This window comes from Homo sapiens, chromosome 10 (assembly GCF_000001405.40).
Source record: "Homo sapiens chromosome 10, GRCh38.p14 Primary Assembly".
NCBI classification, from domain to species: Eukaryota; Metazoa; Chordata; class Mammalia; order Primates; family Hominidae; genus Homo; species Homo sapiens.
The window spans coordinates 95,456,461-95,471,142 of record NC_000010.11 but is presented as its reverse complement, the minus strand read 5'-3'; the positions used below and the strand labels follow the sequence as shown (position 1 = coordinate 95,471,142).

At 41.9% G+C, this 14,682-nt stretch overlaps 1 protein-coding gene across 76 annotated transcripts in view; it reads left to right on the top strand.

Moving 5' to 3' along the window:
• Positions 1 to 14,682, top strand: part of SORBS1 (sorbin and SH3 domain containing 1) — a 249,599-nt gene that overhangs the window by 90,229 nt on the left and 144,688 nt on the right. Inside the window, exon 3 of one of the 76 annotated variants that reach the window (NM_001419703.1) lies at positions 10,439 to 10,544. The exons of the other annotated variants lie outside the window; for them this stretch is intronic. The gene's annotated coding sequence lies outside the window, so the exon portion shown is untranslated. The remainder of the gene's footprint in view (positions 1 to 10,438; positions 10,545 to 14,682) is intronic. 76 annotated transcript variants of the gene reach the window in all.

Sequence of the window (14,682 nt, the reverse complement as noted above, 5' to 3'; positions counted from 1 at the left end):
TGGTAGCCCCTGAAGTGATAATAGAGCATGGTATTTTCAACCTTGATTATTCCTTTGAAGCATTTTGCCATGGCCCACTCACAAAATCCTTTCCCCAGATTTTTTTTTTTTTCCAAGACAGAGTCTTGCTCTGTCGCCCAGGCTGGAGTGCAATGGCGTGATCTTGGCTCACTGCAACCTCTGCCTCCTGGGTTCAAGCAATTCTCCTGCCTCAGCCTCCCGAGTAGCTGGGATTGCAGGCACCTGCCACCACGCCCAGCTAATTTTTTGTATTTTTAGCAGAGGCAGGGTTTCGCCATGTTGGCCAGGCTGGTCTTAAACTCCTGAATTCAGGTGATCCGCCCACCTCAGTCTCCCAAAGTGCTGGGATTACAGGTGTGAGCCACCGTGCCCCGCCCTTTCCCCAGATTCTATTGCTTGTTGTTTGGGAATGCAGCAGGACATAGAGGCGATGTCAAGAAACTGTTTCATCTCATCGAAGCTCTATTAGAAAGGCACTTGCATGAGAACTATTTTGACTACTTTGCTCCCCACTTTCCAAGGAAAGCATGAACTGTTGACTTGCAGATTTAGTGGTCCTTGGTTTAGGTTGTTGGGGATGGACTACAAGGCAGTGGGGGTGGTGACCTGAGGAAGTAAAGCTGCAGATGGAAAGGGAGCAGGAAGACCTTTGCTAACTCCTCCAAATCACTTATTTGTAGAGGAACTACTCTATTTTGCATTAAGTGTTTTGCTGTGAATTTTTGAGATAGCAGTCACACCCATATTTAAATGTAAGAATTAGAGTGTTTTCCAAAGACATACAGGCCAGGTCTCTTCCAGCTCCAAAAGCTATGATTTTACAAACACAAATATTGGGATAATAGGAACCATTGTTTCCACTTGGAATGCTCTTCCCGTGGAAAGCATTCATCTCTTTCTTATACAGACCTTTCTATCCTTCAAGGTCTAGCTCAGTTCTGTCTAACTTTTGTAATTCTTTGACTCTGGAATTTTTGGCAGTTAGTTAGATATGGCATTGTATGTTGAAGTGTAGTTCCTTAAACCTTTTGTCATTTAGGTGTTTTCACGTGTTTATGCCTCGGCCACCCACTAGGTCTTTACTCTTTAGGGCAAGGTGCCACCCATCTCCTGTACCCCTACAGATGGATGTAGTTCAGTGGTTCTCGACAGGTGCCTTGTAGCAGCAGGATCACCTGGGAACTAGTTACAAATGCGCTCATACCCACTGAAGTAGATAGAAAGTCTGGGGCCAGAGCTCAGCAGTCTGCCCTTTGACAAGCCCTGCTCGTGGCTGTGCTGTATGCTGACTTTTGAGAACCTTTAGTGTAGTGATAAGAGCAGGGGACTGAGGGTCTAAGAGACCTGGGTTTGAAGCCAGCTTCACCATTTACTCTCTGACTTTGGGAAAGTGAATTTGTCTGTCTTCTCTCCCCTTCTAGGGGTATTTTATGAACATTTATGATGCAGGATGTTAATGGGTACCCTAAGGGTTGGGGTGGGTGAGGGGCTCTGTGGCCAAATAAGTTGATGAAATGCTGCTTTGGCTAATTTAAATAGGATTCTTTTGGGCAAGACTTTTCAGATGCCTAAATATGTCATTGAAAGTCTCTGAGAGTCTCCGTGGATGTTGCAAACTTGCGAGACCCTGGAACACATTTTCTGCTGCATTCCTGCTAACTTTTCCGGGAACACACAGTGTTTTGTGGAACACATTTTGGGAAATGTTGGCTTAGCTAATCTAAGGGTGCTTTGAGCCTGGAGATTTTATGACCTTGTAAATCAGTGAGACATTTAGAAACTTCAAATACAGATTTAGTCAGACATGGTGCCAGAATCTATAATTTGGGTAAACCAGGCTTATAGAGACCAAGTTCAACATTGAGATGATATGGAAGTAATTAAACATTAGAGAGTAAAGGGTTATATTTTTAAAAGAAGTGAGTTTTTGTTAGGTAGAAAATGGCATATTAGGGGCAAGGTGGGGAAGATAAGGAAAGGAAAATGTCATTTACTGAGCGTTTTGGAGGCCTGGCAGAAAACATATGGCACATTTAAATCAGGTAATTTAAGGCGATTTTAATGAAGGAACTATTTATAAGGGGTGTGGGCAGAGCTTTGGAAAAGCATCGGCAATGACGAAGGACTTGATTCCTCTGTGTACCTAAGGTTTTACACGTATCACATTGTCATTGTCATAGCCCCAAAGCTGGTCTTATTATTTCATTCCTTGCAGAAGAGGAGTGAAGCCCAAAGAGGCAAAGCAAAATGCCCTTAGATAGGACCTGAAATGGAGGAGGCAGAACTCCACTCTGCCCTGTCCGGCCCCCAGCCTGCACCTCCTGGTTCACATTTCTTTAGGCTGAGCCTCCTTATTTCCTTCAGTCCTTCTCTATGTAATGAGGCTGAAAACATTGCTTTGTAGAAGCTCATATTTGGAGCTAGATGCGTTGCACTGAGCAATCAGTAGACAAGAGAAAATAGCACCTTAGGCAAATAAATACATTAATAATAAAAGAGTGCAGGTTCCATAAGTGGGAAAGAAAGAAAGATCATAAACACAAATTTTCATGTCTGGGTGAGTTGGGGCTGTGGAAATCTGTCATCCATTCTTTCCTAGGATCCATCCATCCTAGAAAATCTTTCTGGAGGAAGTGGGAACCATGTAAAGGACATGATGTGGCAGCTTAGCTTGTAGGGGCTGGGAAGAGGGAGAGGGAAAATTTTTCAGACAAGGGGGCACTGCTTGGGGAAGGCCTAGCAGTGAGAGTGGAAGGCAAGGGTGCTCCTTGCGTGGGTACCTTAACAAAATGGCAGTGTGGGCGGTTTGGAGAAAGGGTCACCATGGGATCTGAGGGGGCTGCTGAACTACCAGTTTTTATATCTGGGCCGTGCTGTTCCAGTGAAGTCTCTTTAGCCTAACACCTTTGTTAGAAGATGGTAAAGGGCTGGGCACGGTGGCTCACGCCTATAATACCAGCACTTTATGAGGCCGAGGCGGGTGGATCAGTTGAGGTTGGGAGTTCGCGACCAGCCAGAACAATATGGAGAAACCACATCTCTACTAAAAATACAAAATTAGCTGGGCCTGGTGGTGCATGCCTGTAATCCCAGCTACTCGGGAGGCCGAGGCAGGAGAATCGCTTGAACCAAGGAGGCGGAGGTTGTGGTGAGATGAGATCATGCCATTGCACTCCAGCCTGGGCAACAAGAGTGAAACTCTGCCTCAAAAAAAAAAAAAAAAAAAAAAAAAAAAGAAGATGGTAAAGGTTGAATTTTCTAAGAATTGATTTTGCTTCCTTTGGGAAGTTTCAGAGTATATGAATGCTCAGTTTCTCTTAAGCCCAAAGATAATTTAGAAGTCATGTTTCTGTGGAGGTTTCTTTCCCCATTGTGAGTTTAAATTTGGGGCGGCTTTTAATGCTCAATTAGAATACTTCTTATGGTTAAGTACTTTCTATTCCAAAAAACAAAAACACCTCTCAAATCCTCTGCACAAGACCTGCCTTTGAAAACATCTGGTAAAAATAACAAGTCACTTGGAAAACTGTGATTCTCAAATGGACCCCCGCCTCTTGGTTAGTGGGAAGTCACTGGGGTAAACCTTTATTTCCTGTTGCTTCCACACAGCCGGCCCTTCACGGAAATATTTCACATGTTTCCTCAGGCAGCAGGGAACCTTGAAGGGCAGACAGAGGGCTGGGGCCCCAGATAGGAACACAGTTGCTGTCTTTGCTCAATAGCGCCTCAGGGTGTGTGGAGAGCCAGCCTCTGCCTTTGAAGCTGGGCCGGCTCCCTGCCCCTAACTGCTGAAAACCCCAGCTCTCCCCAAGCCATGAGCAAGGCCCAAACTTGCCACACCTCTGGCTCTTTTTGCAAGAGAGATGTTTTAAAATAGTCTTAAATGTCAGACATATTTTTTTTCACAACATGCCTCAGACATCTCATAAATTATTCTGCAGTAAAACTTTAATAGGAATGCTTAGAAAATGAAGAGTTCTAGTCAATGGAGTTTTTGGTAACTTATACAACCGTTAACCCCAAATCACCCTACTTTTTCTACCCCAGAACTCATTGAAGAAAATAATTTAAAAATAGAGATGATTTTTCTGAACCCATGTTAGAGGCTGTCTTTGATGACTGAGGTCTTATGTTTCTTCATAATGCCATATGTTAGTTTGAACAACGTGATATTCCAATATTTGACTATTTTTTACTTTAAAAAGTTAATTTGAGATGGTTCAGTCTGATAATATGTAGGAAGTATAGGAGTTGGAGTTCAGTGTTTTCTGACCAGAATACACCGATAAAGTTGATTATTTTTTCTTAGAAAAAAAAAAAAAAAAGAAATCTGCGATATCCACCTTTCTTGCCATTTGCTTCCTTCTCTTGAATATGGGTAATTAAAGATTCTGGTTGCAGAATTTGCATGGTTGCTCAAGCTGTGTCTGCTGTCACATTGGCTCCACATTGGGGCTCTTACAAATATGTGTCACATCTATAGCTGTAGATCTAACGAGCTCTCTTTCGTGTGCACATGCTTCTGTACATGAGCCTGTGAGCCCTCCTTCCTTTTGTGGTTTTTCAGTGTTGTGGCTTAGATTTATTTCTATTTATAATGCTTACTGTCTTGATTTATTCAGTTACTAGTTCCTGAAAAGTTGGAATTTGGGAAGTTTTTTCTTTTTCTTTTTTTTTTTTTGGAGATGGAGTCTTGCTCTGTCGCCAGGCTGGAGTACAGTGGCGTGATCTTGGCTCACTGCAACCTCCACCTCCCGGGTTCAAGTGATTCTCCTGCCCCAGCCTCCTGAGTAGCTGGGATTACAGGCGCCTGCCACTACAGCCAGCTAATTTTTTGTATTTTTAGTAGAGACGGGGTTTCACCATGTTGGCCAGGCTGGTCTCGAACTCCTGACGTCGTGATTAGCCCACCTCGGCCTCCCAGTGTGCTGGGATTACAGGCGTGAGCCGCTGTGCCCGGCCAGAATTTTTTTTTTTTTCGAGTCTTGCACTGTTGCCCAGGCTGGAGTGCAGTAGCGTGATCTTGGCTCACTGCAACCTCCGCCTCTCGTGTTTAAGCGATTCTCCTGCCTCAGCCTCCCAAGTAGCTGGGATTACAGGCACCCACCAGCATGTCCAGCTAATTTTTTTGTATTTTTAGTAGATATGGGGTTTCACTATGTTCGTCAGGCTGATCTCAAACTCCTGACCTCGTGATCCGCCTGCCTCGGCCTCCCAAAGTGCTGGGATTACAGGCGTGAGCCACCACGCCCAGCCCAGAATTTTTAATTATTGGGACAGAGATAGATAATTTGAGCTGGGGCTGTCCTAACAAGTCTGGAATATGTGCTACATCACAGAATCATGATCATCAATGCCCAAAGTGGTGCTGCATAGATGCCTTTTTGCCCATAGGAAGATTCAATGATATTTAGATGCTAGCATACTTCGTTTCATGATATTTCTCATTCTTTAAAAATTGGACTTGCTAATTTACCAGTATATTTCATTATCTAGAACATTCCATTAACTCTATATTTGGCAAGTGTTTGAATTGAGAAGAAATTTCAAAAGTGAGGGTATATTTCCTAGTATCTTTTTTTTTTTTTTTTTTTGAGATGGAATCTCACTCTGTCGCCCAGGCTGGAGTGCAGTTGCGTGATCTCAGTTCACTGCAAGCTCTGCCTCCCGGGTTCACGCCATTCTCCTGCCTCAGCTTCCCGAGTAGCTGGGACTACAGGCACTCGCCACCACATCCGGCTAATTTTTTGTATTTTTAGTAGAGACGGGGTTTCACCGTGTTAGCCAGGATGGTCTCGATCTCCTGACCTCGTGATCCGCCCTCCTCGGCCTCCCACAGTGCTAGGATTATAGGCATGAGCCACCACGCCTGGCCTCTTTTGCCTTTTTATGTGAAATCAAAGCAACAAAATTGTCTCTTGCCCCTTTACTTCATCCAAGGCACCGTGTTAAAATTCAGAAGGTGTATTTGCAGTGACTAAAGAATTTTGCTTCTCTTTAAATGTGACACTAGCATGACGTTCTCCTTACCATTTGGTCTGTAGGAAGGCAAAGCTAGCTATCTGTGACTTGACTCAGGACAGCATCCTTTGGGGGAAACGGTGCTGTGTTGAAAGGTAGAGCCCTTGTTTCATTCCTGTCCAGGTCCCAAGCTCACTCTGACTTTGTGGGTAGATCTGAGTTTGTGGGTAGACTTTTTCCTTTTCCACCTGGACTGCTTCCTCTTCTATACAGTGAAGATGTCAAACTAGATCATTTCTAAGGTCTTTCACAACACAGTAAACCCAACAGTGTTTTTTATTGACTACTTTCCACTTCACAGGGTCCTGAGATAGTTCCAACTGTTAAGAGAGCATTTCACACCTGGGTGTTTTCAGAGGTCCCTCATAGATAAGTAAACCAAGAAAACATGTTTGTTGGCCATTCTGCAAGAGCAGAGAGAATGCCAGAGTGTGCAGAGTATTCAGCCCTTCCTTCAGAGAGTTATGCGTGGCTTGGAGAAGAATAAATGATACGGGACCTGTCACATGTGTGGGACAAAGAGTGGGCTAGACAGCGAGCACCCTGAGTGACAGCTGTTGTTTATCAAACACTTGCACCATCCCCGACTCTGCCAGGTGCTTTTAATTGCTTTACCTATAATATCCTAATCAAGCCTTGTAGTAACCACATGAGAGGAGTGCCCTGTTTACCCTGTTTTACAGATGAAGACACCAAGATAATTTGCCCAAGTTTCCATAGCCAGTAAGTGGTGGAGCTGGTACCTGAATTTGAGCCTTTTTTTTTTTTCTTTTTTTTTTTTTAAGACAGAGTCTCGCTCTGTCTCCCAGGCTGGAGTGCAGTGGCGCCATCTCTGCTCACTTCATCCTCCGCTTCCCGGGTTCGAGTGATTCCCATTCCTCAGTTTCCCAAGTAGCTGAGATTACAGGCACGTGCCACCTTGCCTGGCTAATTTTTGTATTTTTAGTAGAGGTGGGGTTTTGCCATGTTGGCCAGGCTTGTCTTGACCTCTAGTGATCCTCCCACCTCGGCCTCCCAAAGTGCTGGGATTACAGGCGTGATCCACTGCCCCTGCCTGAGCCTACATTCTTAATTGCCTTGCCTCTAAGAAAAAAGATGAAGGCACAGACAGAGAGAAGAAACAGGACTCTCTTGTTAAAGGAAAGCATGGAATTGCCAGGGGTTAACAATGGCAGGAGAACGGGACATTTGTGACCATGGGCTACTTAGGTGGACCCATTTCCTGATGGTTCTCTCACCTTGGTTACCTGTCACTGCCTTGTGGGCCCTGGGGGACACTGCCTCTCTATTAAGACTCTGGCTCAAGCTTGGCCAGAAAAACCTCCTGCCACCCCTCCTCCAGCACTCTGCCAGTGCTAAAAAGAGCCTTGTGTTTACTGGAACTTGGGATATCTTTTCCACTTGAGTTGACCAGAGCCAAGTCAAGGTAGTAAACAGCTGGACTGAAACAGCCATTTGGGATTGGAGGGTGACCCCAATAGTATAACTATACAAAGGCTTTAAAAATCCCTTTCCAAATTTTCCAAAACTTGGTTTTACTTTAAACTGGTATTTTCCTTTTAATGCCTCCATTTGCAGAACCAAAAATTCTCAGTTTTGGAATTTGTGCTGTGAAAGGGTCAGAGTGAACAATGTGAAGCATCCTCATTAGCTCTGTTTATTTCTTGGATGGAAGGGATCACTTGTATCTGCTCATGGGGCTCAGGACAAACTTCTGTTCACTGTCACTCTCTCAGCAGCCATCATCAGTGGGACACTGGCCAGGCATCACATGGCTTAAAAAAAAAATCAGTGTCTTGCTTTTAAGCACCCTCTGTGCGTTGGATTATAAGACCACTGCCTCCTTGAGGGGCAGTGATGATATTCATCTCCATAGCCTGGCACTGAGCACAGCATGTGGTACCAAGGAGACACTCCATGAGCACTTGGCATATTTGTTGAGCACATTCTTTTAATCACCATGCAAACAAATGCAATGGAAAGATGTTTTTAAAATGAGGTGAGTACAAGGAAGGGAAATGCATTGCAAGGCACAGCTTTGTAGTATGAGGCATGATAGTTCTTAAGAGCCCTGGGATTTAGGGTGGGATAGATTGGGTTATACATCACAATTCCACCACTTAATGGTAGGGTGACCCTAGAGAAGACACTGGATCATTGCCTCCTTTCTAAATTGGTAACAGTGCCTACATGATAAGGCTACTAGGATTAAATGAGATATTGTATGTAATGTGCTAAGCATGAGGGGAGGCTCTTGATGATAACAATAGGGTTTTTTTTCCCTAGCAATAAATACATCAAATTTAGCTGCCCTTCAAAAGAAGTGGGAAGGAGAACTTGTGTATATGCCCCCTCCCTGACCAAAGAAAAAAAGTTTGCATGTTGCACAGTGGTATAATACTGAATGTTTTGCAATTACCTGGATCAGAGGCAAGTTCAGCAGGATATGAGTGGTCGTTGTGGAAATGTAGTTCAACAGATTTCTGAAGTCTGGAAAACTCTTTATATAGAAAACATGCAGAATTAGAACCATATTTCAAAGCTTTTATAGCAAGAAGAAAAATACTTATGAGACAATACTATACATATACTGTGAACGTAACCAGATAATATAAAGAAAGATTACAGGGAAATTCAGCAAATAATGAGATTGTGTTAGGGTGGTGACATTATAGATCTTTTTATTTCATTTTCAGATGTTTAGTTGTGTGCTTATATTTCTTTTGTAGTTTAAAAAACGCTTTCAAAAATAAAACCTATTCAAAAAAAGCTTCACTCTTGAAATGAGTTGAAAAAGAGTCTTCTTACAAAAAGTTTGATACTTGAATGGCTGCCTTTGAATTTTTTAGTTTTAATTGCTTTTCCAATTGTTTTCTTTAAGAAACTTTTTCTGTTGCTGAATAATCATAAAGACTATACTTAGTGAAAACACATCGAGAAGTTGGAATTTAAGAGTTTGATGCAAAATGGAAATTTTCCTTTGAAAATAATGTGATAGGATAAAGTATTAATGGACTATTAGAGATCAAAGCCTGTCTAATTAAAAAGTAAACACTTGCTCTTTAGATGGCATCACAGATGTGTCAAATATATCCATTTTTTAAGTTATAGTCATTTTATGGATTATGATATGAAATAGTCTTAAAGGTAGGGTGCATTTCAATTCTTTGCTTTCCTAAACATCCAGGCTTAGAAATATTTAAGTTAATGGATGAGCATAGTCCTAGTAAACTTCTCACTCGGAAACCCTGTGCCAGACTGTGTGCAGATGGGGCAGCAGTCATGACTGGCAGGCCCAGCAAGTGGAATCACATTTGCACATTGTTTTATTCACTGTGAACATTTTTGCAGGAAAAAAAGGAAAAACTGTCTCCCTGCTTAATGCAATTCTGACGCGATCAGTACAAATTATAAATTACATTTAAAGTGATGGTACAAATTAGTGAACATTTCCAGCTTTGTGTGACAGTTTGGGGTTGAGCATCAGCGTTTAATACTTGGTGTTGCCGTCACTTGGTTGTATTGACCAACATTTCTCAAAGTATAGCCCTAAATGACATCTGCCAGAAATGCAAATTCCAGGGCCCCCTTGGAACTTCAGAATCAGCATATCTGGCTGCAGAACTTGTAATCCGCATTTTAAATAAGTGCCTCCCCAGGTGATCCATGTAAAGCAGTTTTGTTGAGGCCCTCTAGTACATACAGTGGGAACGTTTGCAAAGATTATTTGTTATCTCAATTTAAGATACTTATTTTTAAATCCAGAGAATACAAATGTATAATGAAAGTTTGAGAGCAAAGCTGACTGATTTTGGGTCCATATTTTTACTTATGAGTGAGATTTGAGACTTCAAGGCACTGTGGGTAGTGTCTTCAATTTGTGCAATAAAATTAATTTTCAAAGTACAAGTTAGAAATTTAGTTGAAGGGCACATGTGAGAATAATTTTAAAATGCTCTTGCTGTTTTTCCGAATTCTCCAACTCATCAGAGTTGACTTAGAACAGCATTGCAAGTAGTCATTTAAAATACTTTCTCAATATCAATAAGAAAACTTGCATTTGAGAAAATCTCTGATTATTAAATCATTTGTGAATTCATAAAACAGTAAATTTGGAGAAAAAGGGACGAAGACAGAGACCCAATGTTATATCAAGGATTATAACTAATATTTAGTTCAATAATTATCATTGGGGGTAAAAGTAAAGATAATATTCATTCAGTTATCTGCAAAAGAGATGATGATGGTTTTATTAGGGTCTTCCAACCACATACTTACATGAAGCAGCATTTTTGGCCTTTAAAGTAAAGAAATCAAAGCCAAAAAGGGGTCAGTTTGTTTCTGGCTGTACTCTGTATAAAGTTATTAATTTTTTTTTTTTTTTTTTTTGAGACAGGGTCTTGCTCTGTCTCCCAGGCTGGAGTGCAGTGGTGGAATCACAGCTCACTGCAGCCTCGACGTCCTGGGCTCAAGCGATCCTCCCACTTTAGCCTCCTGAGTAGGTAGGACTACAGGCACACACCACCACGCCCGACTAATTATTGTATTTTTTGTAGAGTTGGGGTTTCACCATGTTGCCCAGGCTGGTCGCAAACTCCTGAGCTCAAGTGGTTCACCCGCTTCGTCCTCCCAAAGTGCTGGGATTATAGGTATGAGCCACCACGACTGGCCTAAAGATATTTTTAAGGGACTGACAATTGGGATTAGAGAGAAGCAATCACTTTGAATATCTTAAAACTTCTTTGAGTTTAAAAGTGATCTCACATAATGTATCTGTGCTTAAATATAATTTCTTAATGTCACTTGTGTAGACTTCAGTGATAGAAGAAATAAGATTTAAATAAAACTTTAACCCTCTGTTTAGTGAATAAATTTATATGTATATTTTTATCTTTATAATTTTAATGATTCTTGTAACGAATTGGTGTTTCTTTTTCCCCTGCTGAAACAATGTTTGGGCTGGGACACATTGGTCTCCTTTTCATCCCCTCTGTTTTGCTTGTCTTTGGGGACTCCTCACCCCTGTGTCTCATTCTCCTCCATCTCCTGTCCCTCCTTGGCAGCAATGGGGTCAAGGAGACTGAATGTGGACCTGACACATCCTACAGAGAAACCACACTTTGTTTCCAGGCAGGATCAGAAGTACTTGACTAGGCAGCATTTTGGTTTTGCAGTTCCGAGGCAACCCCAACGCTGCAAAGGCATCTTCACATTGGAAGAGGCACACTCGAAGGATGATTTCCTTATCTTCCTGGCAGTTGCCTGAAATCTCCCTTCTAGCACTGTGATCTATGAGCTCTCACGCACTCAATTTATTTTCTTTGCTAGGAATTGCTAGAGCCATGGCTGGGTCACCCTTTGCTTTCCTGGCAGCTGGCTTCACTCTGAACTTAATGAGGTTGCAGAGCTGAGGGGCCACGGAAGGGTTTCCCCCGTTGAAAGGACTCTGCTGCTTGTCCCTATTAAAAGAGTAAATGCTGACTGCTGGGTGACTCCAAGGAAGGGCTTTTCCAGCCAGTTTCCATGTGGTCAGTGTCTAGGGCACATTCCGGAGCCCGCCTGCTCCTCCTTTTCTTCTCTTTGGACTTTAGTGTAACCAGCAGTGAACAAGGAATGTATTTTAAATGACATGTAGATGTAACTTTTGGAGTCGCTGGGATTTTCTGTCCCTATCCACTGGTCCATTTATCAAAGTCTGTTGGCAAACTTGTGTAGCCATCCCGGATTTCATGCTACCTAAGGCCTCCCTGCACCTGATTCTCTGCATTTGAGCTTGCTGGTTAGTTGTTAGAGCTGCGATATTAGCAGAGGGGAATTTGAAATGCTTCATTACCATTCTGAGAGTTCAAGTGTTTTTTATTTCTGTTTTTAGTAAGTGCTTAAAACACATATTTTAGTTTTTTTCCCTTACAATCTAGTGTATAAAAATCTTTTAAACTTAGGCTTCACATTCTTACAGAAGAAAAAGCTTATTTATTTTTGTACTTTTATTATTAAACAGATAGGAAAAAAGTCTACAATTACATGCTTCTTAAGCTGGATTTCCTCCAGAAGTGTAATATATTCACCAAACTCCACAAATACCAGAGCTCCCTTTAAGCATATTGGGAACCAACCCAAGAGTTCTAAAGTTACGTTTTTCCTGAAGGATTTTTGTTGCATACTTGGAAAAAAAAAAAAAAGGTGCAGGGGAGGTGAGGTGGGGATTCTTGTATGGGACCTTTATCCTTTCCCCCATCTCTATAGTCTTCTTAACATGCCCTCTGTCAGACTTTTTGATGGTTTGCTCTCTAGATATTCAAGATATAAATTTAAACAGTGAGATCCACTATTCAATGCCCCACATTTAGTTCACATTTAGTGAACTTTTACTGAATGAATGAGCTCAGAAGCACCAAAGGACATTTGTTTGTGGACTTGCTTTAAGTTAAGGATTTTTTTTCTTTTTCTTTCTTTTTTTTTTTTTTTTTAGGAGAAAGCTGACCTGAGCAAGGTGGTGCATGCCTGTAGTCTCAGCTACTTGGGAGGCTGTGGCAGGAGGATCACTTGAGGCCAGGAGTTCAAGGCTAACCTGGGCAACATAACAAAGCCCTTTTCTCTAGATAGCTAGATAGCAATTTATGCGCCAACTCAGTACTTGTATATATGACTTTAGTTTTAGAGACACTTGGACCTATATAAATGTTAAGAAACCTTAGATTTTAATTCTCAACTGCTGGCTTTTCCTTTTTAAGAGAGGAAGGGAATGCCACAATGAAATTTTAAAAGCAATTTAGAAATATTTGAGTGCCCTCGTGAATGAACAAACATCATACAAGCACACATAGATGACTGTCTTCAGGGAGTGTAACATCTAGAAAGCAGAGCAGGACTACAGACATAGTAATTGTAACATCTCCTGCTGACATGGCTTGCCCCTTGTCCTGTTGGAAGGGCTTGGCAGGATGAGAGTTATTTGTTTTAGGGAGGACGTGTACCTGGACATTGCATTTTCTCATCTCAGTGTATTGATCAGGACTGTAAAGCCCATGACATTTGGAAACTGTGTTTTTTTCCAGCCCTGAAATGCTTTTTTTTCTTTTTTGGTAGGGATATTTTATTCTTTTATAGACTTAGGGGTACAAGTACAGTTGTATTACATGGATATATTACATAGTGGTGAAGTCTCTAGCCTTGAAATTCTATGATGCTCTGAGTCCTTTGGCCTCATGAAACATTCTTAAAGATGATATTGCCTTGTTTTTGTTCTTGTTTTTTTGAGATTGAACTCAATTACTGGCCTGTTTAGCAGACAGCCAAGGGCACTGCTGTCCTGTCGCCTGTAAAGTTCTGCACAAATGCAGGGTGCTGGATGGAGTCACTACAAGCTTTGTGTTGAGTTTTCTCTGCCCAAGGCAAAAGCCTTCATTCCTGGCAATGCCCTTGTCTCCATGCAGGGTCCAGTACATTGTTGTTAAAGTAAAACAGTGACTAACTAGAGCCTTTTATTAACCAGGATTCCACTTCTGACTCTTCTCACACTTCATTTTTGGAGTTAGAACAGGATAAATAAACAAATTATGTCAATAGGTGACCATTTACTGAGTTCTTCCTGTGTGTCAAGCACTGTGCTATGTGGGTAAATGGTTATCTCGATTAATCCTCACAACAGGGAGGTTAGTGCTGCTTTTATTCCCGTTTTGCATGTAGGGAAGCTGTACAGTGGTAGCGTCACTGCCTGAGCACCTAGAATTCTTTGCTAACAGGGTTGTGTGTGAATAATTTAATTCGTCTCTTAAGATCTCAACACACTCCCTCCCTGGCCCCTGCTGTAAACATCCTACACTGATTGGAATAGAATACATAGTTCTTTTCTTCCAACATGGTGTGTTCTATTGATACAAGTTGTGAATTGTGGCGACAAGGCCATTTTGTATTGAGAACCATTCTCTTTAACATTTGTTAGTTTGGAAATGCTAAACATCCCTAACTCTGTCACCTTTTATTCCATTGTAGTGGTTGATATCGTAGTGTCTTTATTTAGTTATAATAAGCGTCTTTGAGTTCTAAAGGATTTTTCGACACCTTTTATTTTCTGATAATTTTATCTTGTCATCCACCAAGGCAATTGGGCAGAAAAAAAGCTTCACTGTGGACAAAAGTGGCAAAATGTGATTTAGGGAGTGTACTCAGAAAATCAGATTCTCTCTCAGCAGTAGTTTTTGCTACCCATAAGCAAGAGAATACAAATGTAGAAACTGTCACCTATGATTGCTGCCAGCAAGGCTTCTATGGAGTTTTCACAGCCAAATGAGCAGAACAAGTTTGCTGGGAGCTCCTCTCCTGGGCAGAGAGGGTATATATGGTTGAGGCGTATTTCTTTTTTTTTTTTTGGTCTTATAAAAAGCACTGGGCACCACTGCCCCTCTTGTGGCCCAACCCGCTCACAGGCAGTCAGCCTGCATGCTCTCTCTGCCCCAGGGCCCCACCTCTACAGTGCATTCTGCCTGCTTCAGCTGGATCAATCACTGTCTTAACTTGTTTCTTGCTGCATAACAGAATACCACAGACTGGGTAATTTATGAAGAGTAGAAGTTTGTTTGGCTCGCAGTTCTGGAGGCTGGGAAGTCCTAGATTATGGAGGGGTCGCATCTGGTGAGG